This window comes from Homo sapiens, chromosome 1 (genome assembly GCF_000001405.40).
Source record: "Homo sapiens chromosome 1, GRCh38.p14 Primary Assembly".
NCBI classification, from domain to species: Eukaryota; Metazoa; Chordata; class Mammalia; order Primates; family Hominidae; genus Homo; species Homo sapiens.
In genome coordinates this window covers 196,372,553-196,390,362 of record NC_000001.11, presented here as the reverse complement: position 1 = coordinate 196,390,362, position 17,810 = coordinate 196,372,553, and the positions used below count along the sequence as shown (strand labels likewise).

The 17,810-nt window shown below is 32.9% G+C and overlaps 1 protein-coding gene across 14 annotated transcripts in view, besides 1 other annotated feature; it reads left to right on the top strand.

The window, feature by feature from the left end:
* Positions 1-17,810, top strand: part of KCNT2 (potassium sodium-activated channel subfamily T member 2) — a 382,662-nt gene that overhangs the window by 218,078 nt on the left and 146,774 nt on the right. For 13 of the 14 annotated variants that reach the window (NR_146058.2, XR_001737149.3, XR_001737151.3 and 10 more), the window contains one exon: positions 17,115-17,223. The exons of the other annotated variant lie outside the window; for it this stretch is intronic. Coding sequence is in view for 10 of the 13 variants with exons in the window: in NM_001287820.3 (NP_001274749.1) it covers positions 17,115-17,223 (109 nt within the window). In the remaining 3 variants the exon portion in view is untranslated. The remainder of the gene's footprint in view (positions 1-17,114; positions 17,224-17,810) is intronic. 14 annotated transcript variants of the gene reach the window in all.
* Positions 16,095-16,631: an enhancer, noted in NCBI's record as "OCT4-NANOG hESC enhancer chr1:196342862-196343398 (GRCh37/hg19 assembly coordinates)". NCBI's record gives its function as "activates a minimal SCP1, AML or CMV promoter by ChIP-STARR-seq in naive H9 embryonic stem cells {active_cell/tissue: H9 hESC(naive)}" and the evidence as "EXISTENCE:reporter gene assay evidence [ECO:0000049][PMID:30033119]".

Below are 17,810 nucleotides of genomic sequence, written 5' to 3'. Positions count from 1 at the left end.
AAATTCTGTTAGAGTACTGAACTTATTGATTCATAGTCATTTCAATGTCTATTTAACACCAGAATATGAGTTTATATGTCCAGTGATTGCACAGTGCTTGACACATAACATGTAATTATTGTACTATACAGAATATACGATTTAAAAGATCCACTTAGAAAAGTGACAATATAACCTAGTAAAATAAAAAAATATGCCAAAATATATGAAATAGTTTGCAAGTACACAAGTAATGTTCCATCATGTTGTGGAAAAAAAAAATTCTAGAGGAGAGAGTGACACAGAAAAAAGAGCACCAGAAATCTAAAAACAGCGCTTTGTAATTTTTTTCTGAGTATTAGGTCACACATGTACAAAATGAAACTCTAAAAGCCAGGCTAAAAACAACCAAAGAATCATAAGCAGAACAATTCTCAGTGCTCAGACAGGGTGGGAGATATTCACACTCTGAGCAGACATAGTAGAATGACCTTGGCGATCAGCAGGGCATTTGAAATCTTATGAGATACATAGTTTGCTAGTAAGACTGACTTAGCCCCAGAGCAAAGGGTACTCTAAATAGATCAGTATTAGTTTTCAGTAATAAAAGCTTACCACTAACTTTTCAATTTACAGTGACACAAACCTATTATCTGTGTTTCTGTGGGTAATGATTCCAGGAATGGGTTATGTAGCTCCCCTCATCAAGGTCTCACCAGTCTGCAGTGAAGATATCCACTTGATCTATAATCTCATTTGAGGTTTGACATCTTAGAACTTTGTCTACTAACACTGCCCTTGAAAGTTTAAAAATCCAGCAGACCTTCAAGGTATCAAACTAATTCTACCAAAATGAAGCACCCCATTTTAAACATTGTATAAGATAACATTCACATTGGCCAGTATCCAATTGAAATGACTAGACATATCAATAAATGGGAAATTCCAACTGTGATTAAGGTAGAAATAAAACCTCTTCTGTACAAGCTTATATCCAGAAAATAAAGGAGAGGAGAAAAAAAAATTTATAGTGATTTTGTAAGGCCGGCATTATTTGATTAGGCCAAAGCCAAAGACATCATGAGAAAAGAAAATTGCAAACTGATACGTTTTATGAACACAGATGCAAAAATCTTCCAACAAATCAGTAGCAAATCCAATTCAGTAATATACAGAAAGAACATACTGTTACCTAGTTGGGTTTATCCCAAGGTTACAATAGTCATATAACATTTAAAATCAGAGCAGTTCACCATATTAATACATTAAAGGGGAAAATAAGTATATGATCATATCAACAGATGCAATAACCGCATTTTAAAAATCAGTAATGTTTTTAACAAAAATTTGTGCATACTGGAAATAGAAGAAAAGCAACATCATATTTTTATTATACTTGATGCTTATAGGCTGAGTACTAAACTCTAATATTGAGACGTCAAAGCTGTGTGCTCTACTTCTATTCACACTGTACTGAAGGTCCTAACCTGTGCAATAAGGCAAATTAAATAAATGTTAATGTACATGTTAGAAAGGAAATAGTAAAACTAGCTTTATTAATAGGCTAAGTGAACATTTCTTTAAAAATGGTAATGAATCTATAATAAAGCTAGTAGAACTAATGAATGACTTAGGAATATCAAAATGATCTTCCTTATACAGAAATCAATTTTATTTTTCTATGCTTGTAAAGATAATTTAGGAATTTAAATTAAATATAACCTTTAAAATTCATCAAAAGTATGAAATAGATATGGGAGAATTTAATAAAATATGTGCAAGTCTCATATAAAGAAACTATAAACATTGCTGAGAGAAATTCTTAAAGAGCTAAATAAGCTGAGAATGTAGCTTACTTCAAGGGTTAAAAGATTCAATATTTTAACATGTTAATTATATCCAAATTAACCTACAGATTCAATACGTTTCAACTGAAATTATAGCTGTCACTTTGAAATATTAATAATCTTATTTTAAATAATATAAAAATGTAAAGATAATAGTCATAACAACTATGAAAAAGAAGATTCATGTCAGAATATCCGTAGTACCTCTGTTGTGAAGCTTTACTGTAATACTAAAGTATTAAAGACAGCATGAAATTATCATAATGATAGACAAATAGATCAATGGAACAGAATACAACCCAGAAGTAGATCAACTTGTATATTTTCATCAACGATGCCAAGTTAATTACCTTGGAGAGGCAATAATCTTCAACAGATAGTTCAGGATCAACTTTATATCCTTCTGGAAAAAATGTATATCTTGAGCCTTACCTCACACCACACAGTGAATATTAACTTGAAATAAATTATACTCTTAAATGTAAAAAGTGAGACTACAACATATCTAAAATAAAACATAGAGGAATGTTTTCACAGACTTGAGTAGCAAATATTTCTTAGCTGAGACACACGAAAACCACAAACCATAAGAGAAAAAAAAAAAAAAGAAAAATTGGCTTTCATCAAAATTAAACCTTCCACTCTTCACTAGACAATTTCAAAGAATGGCGAACCCCAGACTGGAATGAAAATATTCACAATGAATATATCTGATTAAAGTTTGAATCCAAACGTATATAAAGAACTCCTACAATTCAATTTTAAGAGTCCAAACAAACCAATAAAAATAGGTAGAAGAATCGAACGGATATTTTATACACACACAAGGATATACCAATGACCATTAAGCATATGAAAAGATTGTCAATATCACTAATCATCAGCAAAATGAAGATTGGAAAGCAATACCATTACACACACAGAATGCCAAACATTAAAAGGATTCTTAGTATCATGTGACTGAAGCTCTCATGCCCTCTTGAAGCTTACATTCTAGTGGGAAAGATGGTTTGAGCAAGAAAGTGCTTAGATGGCTATTAAGGGAAAAAAATGCAGGCATCAAGGAAAGCTTAAAATAGGGTGGACATACAGATATGATAGATGAATTTTGGCAAAGGGACATGTAAGTTATACACTGACACAGGAATGGGTTAGTTATATTTAAATGAATGCAGATATGAGTGATTCCTGAATGTTGCCATACAGTAAGAAACCAAGGTAGAAAATGGTATGGTGAATTAACAGGAACTGAAAACACTTAATATGGCTGCACCAAGATAGAGGATAGTAGGAAATGGGGGCAAGGCAAAAATAAGATTAGGAAGAACTTTATAATTCACTTTATAAAGGAATATATAGTAGTAGGTAGAAGATGGGTTTGTGGATGATTATTATTTTTAATTTACTTATAGATTTTTGCATATTCTCATTTTTCTAACAAGATCCAAATAATCAAGCATAATTAATACCATGATAAAATTTGTGAATGGTTATATCTAAGCAGTGAGATTGTTATTCACCTAATTATAACTATAAGTTATGTTTATATAGACTACAAAACTGTGTTTACATGAAGTAAAATATCAGTTACTGTTAGTGAAATATATATAAATTTATGAATATGTATTAGTCTATTGCTACATTTTATAACCCATGATCGATCTCACTTAATATTTTCATAAAGCCACTTTCATTCATAACAAATTCTCATTTAAGCCATCAAGCTATGCTGTATAATCAATCATAAGGACTAAATTGATAAATCTGTCAATAGCTAAATCCTTCTTGAGAACGCTAACTCTGCTTCAAATAAGGAATGAGAAATAAAGCAATTTAAAAAGTGGTAGCTATTCGTAAATATTACCAAGATGAATATGATTAGTAGGATTTCTAGGTTAAATGGTATTTGTACTTTTATGGTTTTTAATACACAATGCCAATTTGCTCTCCAGAAATATATTACTTACCTTTGAAGAAATGGGCAATATTAACTTTTGCCCTTTGGTAGAAAGAAAAATAACATAAGAACTACAATAATTATTATAATAATAGTGGTAGTCAACACATGTAGTGCTTCCTGTGCAAGGGCTACTGTTCTAAGGCACTACTTATAGGTTAACTCAGTTCTCATTGCAATTTCGTAAGCTAGTATATTAGTTACATATTGCTGCATAACTATCCCAAAACTTTGTGGTATAAACAACAATGTAAATTTATTATCTCAGTTTCTGTGGGTCAGGAATTTGGGAGAAGTAATAATCTGGATATTTATGATGTTACAATGAAGATGTAGGTTATTTAGTGTAGTTGCAGTTATCAAATAACTACAGGTATTTGAAGGCTTGACTTGCGTAGAATATCTGTTTTCAAAGTGGTTTACTTACATGGCTCCCAAGTTGGTGCTGGCTATTGGTAGGAGATCTTGGTTTCTTACATGTGGACCTTTCCTCTGGGCTGCTCGAGCATCCTCATGATGTGGCAGCTGGCTTTTCCCAGGGCAGATGATCCAAAAGAGAGCAAGGCAAAGTCACAATGCCTTTTACGGCATAGCCTTAGATATCACACTTTGTTATTCTGCAATATCCTAATGGTTATATGGTTCATCCCCATTCTGCTATGTAGGAGGGAACAGCACAGGCATGAATACCAGCATGTAAGAGTTATTTGGGGCAATCCTGGAGGCTGGCTACCACAGACAGATTATATTATCATTTCAATTTTACAGATGAGGAAACAGATCCAAAATATATATATATATATATATTTTTTTAATGCAGAAATGGTGCCATACTAACTGGTTGAGACAGTACTTGAATCCACATTCTCTGTCTCCAGAATGTGTGCTTTTAAGAGATATGTGGTATTGCCTTTAATTCTTCATTAAAATTTTAAATCTTTATTTATTACACAGAGTTGTACATTCTTGTATTTTTTGTTTAATTTTTGCATTTGTATATAAAATTTATCCCTGTGCCCTTATTTTCTGTTTGGCGATTTTTTAATGAGTTATAGGGATTTTTTATATTCTGAAATTAGTAGCAATTTGGCTTTTTATATGCAGTCATGTGCTGCGTAACGACGTCTCAGTCAACAATATACTGCATACACAGTGGTGGTTCCGTAGAGTGTAATACCATCTTTTCACTGTACCTTTTTCTATGTATAGACATGTTTAGTTACACAAATGCTCACCATTGTGTCACAATTGCCCACAGTATTCAGTACAGTGGTATGCTGTACAGGTCAAAAATAGTGTGTGGATAGTACATGATTGGAATGTCAAACTGATTTTATTTTTGGAATCTGCTGATGTGAATATCATATTGAAGAGTTGTGTGGGCTGTTTGGGGTGGTTGAAGTTGGTGATGTTGAAGAAGGACAATTCAGAGTAGGTAAGGACTCCAACAAGACAAAACATTTGGCTCAATTGTCTCATAAAATAAAGCTTACTTTGCATTAAGAATTCCTTTTAAAGTGCATATTTCTCTTGGTGAAACTGAAATTTCAATCTTTTTTATATGTTAGTTTATTTGGGTTATTAAGTGAATATCTAGTTGATAGTAGCATCTGCCTATTTGTCTGTCTGTCTGAAGGTCTCTCAATCTCTTATTCCATAAAAATAGACATTTGGGAGGAAGAGGGAATGAAGATTAGGTTGTTATGCGAGACTTCTAAAAGATAACCAGTGGCCAAAAAGTGGGTTCTAAATGCCTAATTCAAGGGATGATTTTATGTATTTTATTGTATTTATTTATTTTTTTAAATAATTTTGTCCAGAGTAATGGTTGCCAAAACAGTTTTAACAGATTTTTTTTTTTTTTTTTTTTTTGGAGATGGGGTCTCACTCTGTCACCCAGGCTGCAGGCTGGAGTGTGGCAAGATCTCAGCTCACTGCAACCTTCGCCTCCTGGGTTCAAGCGATTCTCCTACCTCAGCCTCCCAAGTAGCTGGGATTACACCCATTAGCGTGCACCACCATGCCCAGCTAATTTTTTATTTTTAGTTTTAGTAGAGATGGGCTTTCGCCATGATGGTCAAGCTGGTTTCGAACTCCTGACCTCAAGTGATCCGCCCACCTTGGCCTCCAAAAGTGCTAAGATTACAGGCGTGAGATTATATGTGACAATCATAAATTTGGCTCTGGGTTTTTTTGGTCTGGGAGGATCAGGCAAATTGTAGCATCTTTCCTCATTGGTAAGGGAAGAGTATGGGTGGGCTCACATAAATGCACATTTCTATGTATTATTTATTTTTATCAAACAAAACTTTACTTGTTATGAGGATTTATAGCTTACTGTATGCTTTCCTGAGTCACTTCAATTGAAGTTAACAGCTTTAGTTTCTTACAGCTTTATTGTGGTATATTTGATAAATAAAATTGTATAAATTTAAGGTGTACAATGTGATGATTTGATATACATATGCATTATGAACTTATTTACCCAATCAAGTTAGTTAGCACATCCATCACCTCACATAGTTCCCTTTTTAATGTGTGTGGTTAGAATATTAAAGGTCTACTTTCAGCACATTTCAAGTATAAAATATAGTATTGTTAACTACATAAGAATTACAGCGTTTTGTGATTTATAAAAATAACTATGCATTTTTTTATCTAATTTGCTGCAAGGTATAGCTGGCCAAAGACTTAACATACTTACAGGCAAGGGATTCAGACTCATGCCATGTGACTCCAAATCCAATGATTCTTTAAATCAAGCACAGGGCAACATTGAATACATTTTCCTACTTTATATAGCATTTCTGCAAGTGCTGGGGTTACATTTTAGTCTTCATAGAATGCGTGATTCAAAAGTTTATTTTTTTGATTTAAAGACACGAATTTCCTGAGGGTTACAGTAAAAATGATGTATAATAGAAGATATACTTGGACCCTGTCATCACTCCCGATGATTCCAGTCTTATTTATACTGTTCAGCCCATAAAGTATCCAAATTCAATCTTCTTTCCATTTTGCTTATTCAATCACCCAGTGCTATAAAACACTCTCCTTCCACCTCATCAACTCATCTAATGCAGTGTTATTCAAAGTGTGGTCCAAAGACCAGTTTCATTCCACAGACTTTTATCAAGCTACAACATGATAAATACAGCAATTGAGAGCAGCATTTTAGAAATTTTGATAGCGATTTGACATTGCCATGACATCCAAATGCATAATTAGTGGACTGTCTCTTTGGAAAACATATAGACTACTAAGCATATACATAGTTTGGGCTATATCAAAATCATAGGTGAATCACATATGGCATGAGCTGCCTATGTGCTTGCAATGGGTTACGACCTGTTCTTTCTTTTTATTTTACAATTAAAAAGAAAAAGAAAACTGGCCCTTCATCACAAATAGCTTGAGAACCATTATTCCATTTCATCATCAGTTTAGAGTCTTCCTGTGCCTCAGTTCCATTTCTTCTCTTTTTCCCTCTCTAAGGAACCTGAACTCCCTAGTCTGCCACTTCATTCAGTCAGCCACATGTCAGTGTTCTGACTTCCTTTGTTTTTCATTTTTTTCCCATAGCTTTTGATCAAAAGTAAATACACATGCAAACAAACAAAATTCCATGTACGCTGATCCTTTTTTTTTCACTCCTTGACTGGCACTCCTGGAAAAACAATAATACTCAGTGGGTCAGATTGTGTTACCATAAACTCATGTTCAGGCAGCTCAAAGCGGCCCTTAACGTTGTGTTTTTTTGTTTTTTTCTTTTAATCAAATTATTCTCTTGCTCTTGTAATTACTATTTCAAATTTATCTCATTTTCTAATACACAGAGATATGGGAAGCCAATACATGAAAACTTCCTTAAATTTTGCAACTTATTTTCCAAATGTTAATTTATGTTCACTTATTGCTTCCTGCTTTTTCCTATTATAATTGATGGATTTCCTTTCCATATCTTTGCTGAGTGCCCAATTACCTCATACCCTATCAGCAACCTCAGCAATATTTTTCCTTCCTTAATCTTTAGATTTCTTTCTTTCTTAATATATTTGTGTAAACATTTCCGTTTCTTCCTACCTCTCCAATTTTATTTTTACGAAATTCTGCATACTTTCTTCACCTTTCAAACAACTTTTCTTAATTATCTTTAAAATATTTGGTTAAACAGGCCGGGCGCGGTGGCTCACGTCTGTAATCCCAGCACTTTGGGAGGCGGAGGTGGGCGGATCACAAGGTCAGGAGATCGAGACCATCCTGGCTAACACAGTGAAACCCCGTCTCTACTAAAAATACAAAAAAAAATAAAAAATAGCCGGGTGTGGTGGCAGGCACCTGTAGTCCCAGCTACTCAGGAGGCTGAGGCAGGAGAATGGCATGAACCTGGGAGGCGGAGCTTGCAGTGAGCCGCGCTCGCACCACTGCATTCCAGCCTGGGGGACAGAGGGAGACTCCATCTCAAAAATAAATAAATAAATAAATAAATAAATAAATTTGGTTAAACATTATTTCCTTAAGTGAGGCTTTTTTCATTCCCTCAGAGCAGGCAAAGTATCTGTATATCCTCTTAATACATATGCATTTACTTTCTTTTTACCATTTATTGCAGTATTTATTTGCTACTAATAAATCTTCCAGAAATCTTCCAAAATATTTTTGAATCAGTCATTCAAATTATTTTAGTTCAGCTACAATATTGTGTTTTGTGGTTGAAAAGGAATGAAACTGATCTCAAAGGCAAATTTGCCTACGTTCTCTCAAACTTCACTATTACACGACAGGTGTTCGGGGAGCTTGGTGGTTGTGTTTTCTCAGTCATCAGTTCAGTGTAATGGATGCTCCAGCCATTTGTTCATCTGGTAGCAAGTGGTCATCTTTAAGTGGTTTCTACAGAGGGAAACACTGCTACATTCTGTTACCTATTTTAAGTGCTGGTTAATCAATTTTAGAGTCGTATAGCTTTTGTAGAGTCCTTTGTAGATAGTTTGAATTTAATAAGTAATAAATTCAGCCAAGTTACTTCACTGTTCTGAATATCTGATTGCTTATCTGAAAACTACTTAACACAATATATATCATAGAACTTTTGAGAGGTTTAATAATATATATATATAACTTAGCATGAAAGCAGAAATATTATTTAGTATTATTATTTTATTACTAAAAAGAAGCTTCAGTAAGTATCTTCGATACTATCAGAAGCTGATAAAGTATACTCTTGGTTAGAACCTAAAGAAATTGGAGGAAAATAATTTTTCAAAAATATTAAGACTGCTATGTATTTATGAGAGGTATAAAAGAAAAGGAGGTTAATGAAATTAAAACTGTTCTGCACTAGGGTAGAGGAAATTTGAGCCCCCTTTTGAGTATTTAATAGCCTGAAACATCAAAAAAGATTATATTTATTGTACTAAAATAAGTATTGAAGCAACTGGAAAAACAGAAACGTGCTTTTTACTTGTGTTATTGAAATGAAATAAATCTGTTTTACAGAAAATTGCAAATCTCAAATTGGGTTAGATTCTATGCATTTAATAAGCATTCTTATAGTTAGATCTAGTGAAACTAAGTGACTTTTAAGGATTTACTTAAATCTATTCTTAGCCATTTAGTGGTTGAATGCCTCACAATCTGAATTGGCAAAGTTTCTGACGTGTTCATATGCACGCGCACGCATGCACACACGAGTGGTTATTTTATTGATTAAAGTAACAGGATCAAAATAAAACTCACTTGATTGCAAGACATTATCTATTCTCATATAAGAAAAAGATACAATTTTTTGTAGCAATAAACCCACTCTTGCTTGCAAATAGAATCTAATAAGCAAAGGATATGGGAAAGATTTTATAATGCAATTTAATCAGTTGTTCTATTTAATAAACTTTTTCCCCATAAAATAAAAATGACTAACATTTAGATTTTAAAATCCACCCTGGTTCGTTTTTCTATTTAAAAGCCATTTTCCAAAGGATATTTGATTTCTGTAAATTAAAACCCAGCACTAGATTGGTTTACTGCACTTTCCACTATTTACTGTTTTCCAAAGAGCTGTTACCTAGCAACTGCATGGAAGAGGTTTCTAGTACTTTAAATCACACAAAAGCTCAGAATATAAGGTGATGTAGACCTTTAAGAAAATATTCTGACTTGTTTTAAAGTAACTATCAATTTTATTTTTCATAAAGTAAAAGGGACTTGAAGACAATTTTGATTCATATTTATCAATGCATTTGCATCTCAATTGTAATTTTTTATTTTAGAAGCTTTTAAACTGAAAATGACAGACATTAGAATAACAAAGAAGAAATCAATAATCTCACAAAATACTACTATTTTAAAAGTCATATGCTTCTAAAACTCTTTCCCACCTGTTGAGGCAGTTTCTATTGACAATTTGATGCTTATCTTTACACACTATTTTCTGTGCATATCCAGACACACATACAGGCATACACATGAGCATTCTTGCAGAATTCAGCATTTTTACAAAAGTGAGACCATGTTTTTAATTGAATAACAATGGAATTATGCTATATTGTTTTGCCACTTACGTTTTAAAAGTATACTGTTGGCATTTGTTTCAAGATAGTTTATTGAAATCTATCTTTTGATTTTAATAACGCAGGATTGTGATGATCCATAATACTTGTTTAGAATTCTAATTAGCATTTTATACTCATTTTCTATTTTTTTCCTCAGACAATTCTATGAGGTAAACACTACTGTAATTCACATTTTAGAGATAAGGCCTGTTAGGCCTACAGATTAAGAAATTTGCCCATGGCCTGGCACACTCACTGGTGATACCACTTGACCACTTGATCTCATGTGCTTATGTCTTAACAAGCAATAGTGAAGAAAGATCTAAGTCAGAATAAACAGAAACTTTAAATGGATGAGAAGAAAATACAAGATAAGATGCATGTACATATATCTTGTATTTTCTTCTCTCTCTCCATATATACAGAGAGAGAGAGAGAGAGAGAGAGAGAGAGAGAGAGAGAGAGAAAGTCTCACTGTATTACCTAGGCTGGAGTGCAGTGACACAGTCTTGGCTCACTGCAGCCACTACCTCCTGAGTTCAAGTGATTCTCCTGCCTCAGCCTCCCGAGTAGCTGGGATGACAGGCATGCACAACCACGCCTGGCTAATTTTTTGTATTTTTGGTAGAGACTGGGTTTTGCCATGTTGGCCAGGTTGGTCTCAAACTCCTGACCTCAGATGATGTGCCCGCCTCCAGCTCCCAAAGTTCTGGGATTACAGGCATGAACCACCACACCCTGCCACATATAATTTTTAAATAGGAAACACTTTCTTCAACAAAGGAGGGGAATTAGAAGCTAGAAGGAAAAAAAATGACAGATTTATATTTGATAAAGAGTTGTCCTTCTTTGCATAATCAAAGCTGTGCTTTTGCTACATATGTTGTCTCACCAACAAGAAGAAAAGAGTTTAGGGAAAGTGATTTTGTATACAAAAAGTAATCCAGAGTTTATCCATTTCTGCACATTGTCCCATCAGACAAACCCTAGTAATGTGGCCATATCTAAAAGGGAAACTGAGATATGTAATTTCTACCAGAGCAGCCATGAATCCAGGTAAAATATGAAAGTGGGGTGGGGGGAATAAGAGCGTCTATTACTAAAAAGAAAGAAAGAGAAAATGAATACTGGGGGAGGTAGTAGTTTTAGCGATGGTTCTAGTCTTTAGGCACCCAAGTAACCATGCATAACATTATATATATATAATATATATATATAATTATATATACAATGTTGTTTACATATTATATATTGATTTAGTAGATATTATATTACATATTGTATTATATATTAAATTATTATATATTATATTGCTGTTTCATATATATTACTTACATATATAATGTTGTTTGTCTATATAAATATATATAATACATAATGTACATGGTTTCTTGGGTGCCTAAAGGCTTGAACTATGGTTAAAACTACTCTCTCCCCCAGTATTCATTTTCTCTTTCTTTCTTTTTAGTATGTCTATTAGCCATTTACTGGCTACTATAAATGGCATTCATATAGCGCCACTAAAACTTGGAGTATTTGACATAGGGAATAAATGAGAAAACACTCATCCATTCCCTAAGACAAATACTCCAAGTTTCATCAAATGACACATCCAGCTCAAAGTTCAGGATATCTGGAAAATGTAAAGTTGGATCTAGATGTGGCTCCTAATAATCTAGCAATATGCACATTAATAAATTTGCTAAGTGGTCCCAGGACCACTACCCCATACAGATACACAATAGTAGAGGAAGAAAGTTGTAATAAAATAATGGTTTTTGGAAAACAGAAGAAGGAAATGCACAGTAGTCATTGGTCCATAGTATGTCCTTTGGCACACGAATTGAGAAACCTCCAAAGCAACATATAAAATTCCTTAATTAAACCTTGATTCTTCTCTTTACGGAGTAATTCCTTTGTCCATTCATATTCATGGCTCACTATTCTCTGTGGCCACTCTTGAAGTTGAAATTCGAGTGGATTTCTTCTAGGCCTCTCTATGTGTCAGTAACTGTGTTCAAAGTTCTTTTCTAAGAACCTTGTTAAACCTGACTTACTGGATTTTGTTGCCCTGTCCATATCACCATCTTTCTTGCAATGGTGGATACCTTGGTATCATCTGAAACAAGTTTCAATGTGAAGGCAGCACTGCACTTTAATCTGATTTTGTCACAGGTCTGTCTTTATTGGTCTGGCTGGGAAGTCTAAATTAGAGGCCTCTGATAAAGGCTCTGAAAGGGAATGTCATCTCCTGCTATTTAGGATACAGTTCACTTTTTCAATTCTGCAAGTGTTCATTTTTATACTTTTTATTAGATTTTTGATCACAAGCAAACAATGTACTACTTAAGAGAGTTCTATTCCCTTCTCTTTCTGCTTGCAAAGTGATCAGTTCTTACCTCAGATCAGCTCTCTATGTATTGCTGACTAAAATCAGCAAGGTGCTGTGAACAAACATTAGTATACTTGCCCTTTTCAACCACCTCTTCTAAACATCTCTCCATAGGTAGGTGGTTTTTGCATACAAAGAGGAAAATGGGTAGTAGGGAAAAATAGCAGTTACTGTTATTGATGTATTTCTACAGTATGCATTTCTATATTATCTAAATTTTGTGACTGTCTCTTCTATTTTTAATTAGAAAATTATTTGATAAAAATTGGCAGTTTTTGACTTGAAATTCTCCCCCCCACCAAAAAAAATGTATCTGATAAACCTGAAAATGTACTCTCTCTCCCAGCTCACCGTCACTCTCTCCAACACTGCTTGGTCATACTATCTGATGATGTTTATGCCCATGAAAAGGATTCTTTTGATGTTCTAGAATAATGTTTCTGTAATTTCCATTCTTTCAGTGTTCTTGCTCAGCTCATCCTAGCTCAGCAACCATTCTAGGGTTGTAACTTAGATCATATCATTACCAATAAACGTCACTCCTCTGTCATCTCCAATCCTAGTGTGTCCTTCTCTGACCACCACTTCCTATCTTTGTAGTTCACTCCCTCTAATGAAGAACTTCAACTATCTTTTGACCATACAAGACCTACAATTCATTGTCCCTACCAAATCTTCACTGCCATTTACACCCATAGGTCTTGTCTTCCCTTCTTAGCCTGCTTGAATGTCATGGCACATTATTAATAACCTACATCTTCGATTACACTTGTGACAGTGTTTATGTGGTTTGTGGGCAATAGGGAAACAACTATGAGGAAGCGGGTCAGAAAGTAAGCTGACCTAATGATTAATGCTGAATGGTGCTGCAAGCTTGTTTTATTTCATTTCTCCTCCTTCTTTCTTTTTTAATTGGTTTAATAAAATTTATAGGGATGGTTTTATTTTAGTTGAATGTGTCAAGAGTGACCCAAATTATGTAATCAAGTCTTACAAGGTGGAATGCTAAAGAGTTGGAAAACATGAAAACCAATTAGAAAGTTGTTAGCCTAGAGGAAAGAACATCAGAGTTTGAATAACAGTCCACAATCCCTTAGCTGTAATTCCAAAACCAGGAATCTCTGCAACATGAAAATATTTTTGTAGTCTTGGTGGTAAAACACGAAATTATCTGAAATTATTTGGTGGTAGTTCCTGCACTGAACTGCCATGAAGCTATTTAACCCTTTATTTTTTCTACTTAGTATAAATATTCAAACATTTAGCTGCAGAAACAATGATATTTTTAGGAATAGGTTGTTCCTTGGATATGTTATATAGTGTCTGGTAGATGAAACATATTGCCTTTCTAAAATCTGAATATTTTTTAATTCTGAAATTTGATATCTGAGCCTTAAGAATTATGGATGTATTAGAAACCTGTAGTAAGTAGTGAGAATGACAATGGGAAAAAAAGAAAGAGAGGGGAATTTGATTGTATAATCCATAAACTTTGGCTATTATAATGTATTGGGAAATGAGGGGCAGTTAGAATGAAGGAATATTTTCAGTATTTTAATTCAGGCTGAGGATTAGTGGTTAGTTCTAAAAAATGTCCCAAGAGGAAGGATGGATTTGGACCTAAGAGGACAAGTCTAGATATAGAAGCAGTTCTATTTTTCAGATTGAGTTTTAGCTCTCTGTGATGCATGCAAATAAAGATTATTATCCAGTTGAATATTATATCATATCTTTTTCCTTGTATTTTCCATTCTTAGAAATTAAATAGCTTTCTTAATGAAAAGAGTACTGAATTTACATTTGTTCTAACAAAGGCTTTCATGATAATTATATATTAACTTATTTATCTAAAAATGGTTATTTTCTCTGATCCAGTACTCTCTTTTTATAATAAATATTTTGCAACACTTCCTACACTATTTTGAAATGAAATTCAGAGTAAATATAACTATCTATACACATAAAGTATAAAAAGTTAGTATAATATTCTAATTCTAATATGAAAGAGAAAAAATGGAAATAATAATAAAAAGCATGTTTTTTTAATATGTAAACACTCAGGCATGAATAAACAAGAAGACAGTGGGAAAAAAAGACACTTTTACCAATGACAAGGTGCTAGGTTTTGACTGATACATATCATATATTAATTTTTATTAATGACTTACATACAATGCTAAACATAATAAAGTAAAATTTCTCTTAATTTACACCGCAGTTGCATCCCTAGATAATTCAGTGTACAAAGGAACAGTGCATACATACTTTGTGTTTATGTGTAAAATTGCCACCATTGATGGTAGTACATATACTTATTGTTGAAAGGGCTGATAGACACTGTAAAACTTTTACCAAATGTAGAAAAAAGACACATGCAAATACAAAAATGACTATCGAAATGTAGGAATCTTTTGCTTCCTTCTAATTTTCTCTGATTAGTACAGTTTTTGAAACATTAGCCACTGCAGCAAAATCTTCCCACAGCCATTGCCCCCCAAACTCAGATGCACACATTTATTGAAGAAAAGGGAGGAGACCTAATTATTTTTTTTACTTTTTTAACTATTGAAGGAAAATACAATGAGATATTTTCAAAGTATAACACATCCATCACATTTTCTCACATTCCCCTACTGAAAGAAATATGGTTTGTGCACTGTAGTAAGGAAAAGTTAATAATTGCATGCTACATTGCATATATGGTAATCATACCTTCCAAATTTTCTGTTACAGTTTGAAATTTTAACAATTCTATGTGGTAATAAATGTACATATTTTTCTCAGATCATCTGTTCTAATTTTTGATTTGAAATTTATGGGTTCCCTATGTATTGATATCATATGATTCTACAGTAATAACATTCCGGGTTTAGCAGTTTTGTCACTCTATTTTCACAGATTGGGCATACACACTCAAAATTATTTTGAGATAATATTGAAATGATAGTTTAAAAACACTCTTCTTTTGCAAATCTTATGTACACTTCCCTGCATTCAAAATTGTATCTAGAATCTGCTTGCCTTTCCTGCAAAGCAATAAATAATCTGGTTATGTATTTCAAAAACATTTTATGTCAATTATAATATATTGACAAGTGGGTGTGGGGAGAGAGATTATCAGTAGAAACTTGATATTTTTGTATTTTTGAGTAAATCCTGACATATATCCATAGTATATATTTTCTTCCATAAAATGTGAAAGAGAAACAATAAAAAATGAAAGCAAAATAAAAAGTAGTATGCTATCTCATGTACTAAATCATATTATAAAAACAGGGCAGAACGAAAGTCAATGTTTGTCCAGAGCATTTGCTAAACCATTTCCCATGTAACCTTTTCTTCTTTCTTCATAAATTGTATGGTGTTATGTATTCATTTTATAGATCTAGCTCACTGACAAATTTGATCTTCTATTTCTTAATTTTGCTAAAAGTGCTACTTTTCTGCCTAAGAATATGTATTTTCTTAGAATTTTAAACCTTCTCTTTATTTTTAATACCAGCTATACTTGTTTATTTGGGAAAACAGGTTTTTGTTTTTTCCAAAATAAACACTATTTAATCACTTTTTAAAAACACGACTTCTGTAGAAAATAGAATATCTGGCATCTGAGCCCTCATTCCTGCATAACAATGCTTGGCCTGAGTAGCATCATTCTCTTTAGATGTGGCCTGCACTTTCCCATGTGCTCTCATTTCTAGCACTATTATTTTTATGTCATTGAATTTCAGCAGCCATTTATTATGTTTTCTGGTTGGACCCTATCATCTTTTGGGTTTATGACTTTTAGGAATTTGGAGTTAAAGTACAATTTTAATTTCAATTTATTTTAGCAAATTCTATTGCTTGATATTACAGTTATTTTCATAGTATCAAATATATTTCTTCTATGCTAGGCACATATTATCTGCTAAATCTTTTAATAATTACTTTCTAAAATTTATGCTGTGTCATTATGAATTTGATATATCAGTACTCTTCTAAATCAGTACTGTTGTATTTTATACTATAGAATTATCAGAACAAAAGGAGACTTTATAAAGTATTTGAAATATTTTAGACCACACCTCAAACCCACCTGCTAGGCATAGGAAGATTAAGCATTTTACCAAAAGTTGCCAATTTTGTTAAGACAGGGTTAAGCATTTTAGCAAAGGTTGCTAAATTTGTTGAGACAGGAGTGACCCCCAAGCCAATCACTTAACCCATACTCCAGTACTCTTTCTTAGGAGATATATTTCCTGGGGATAAAATTGCACTTGTAAAAACATCTCTAAAACAAGTATGTTTATATTGAGACTTTTACCATTTTATTCATTTTGTTTTATTTTTTACATTTTATTACTCTCCAAAGGTAAATTATTCTAATTTACCTATTTTATTTCAAACAGATCATGTTGTTTGTGAAGAAGAGTTTAAATACGCCATGTTAGCTTTAAACTGTATATGCCCAGCAACATCTACACTTATTACACTACTGGTTCATACCTCTAGAGGGCAGTAAGTATATTTTTTCTTTAAGTTAACCTTTTAAATTATATAAAAAACAATAAGGGCAGTTATGTGATTTAAAAATATAGAAGGCCTACGTATACAGCTAGATATGTACCTATACTTGAATTTGTGTGAGTTATCTTTATCTGGTAGATAAATAAAGACATGTTAAAGAATCCAAGACATACAAAAAGTGAGTAATTTGCTGTCTTTTCTCAGTAGTCTTGAGATAGTTTGTTGCAACTTATTAGTAAATTCTAAGTGCCGGCATCATTTGTTAGGCCTAGGATTAGGACATTATTTTTATTTTAAAGATGAATACTTCTGCAGCAAATGAAACATTTAATTAAAGGATTCTCACAGTTATTAGTATAAGAACTTAAAGTCAAATTTTTCTGTTCCTGAGGTAAGTTTTATCTGAAAGCTTAATGTACACAATTGATGTCAAAATGGCAATTTTATAATAGAATAATAACAAAGTAGTTGTATAAAATTAGCTAATGCAGTATAAATCACTTTTTATATGCATTTCAAGGTTGGAGAAAGTTGTACCATTAGAACCTTTTTTATTCTTGTTTGTTTATTTTGATAGA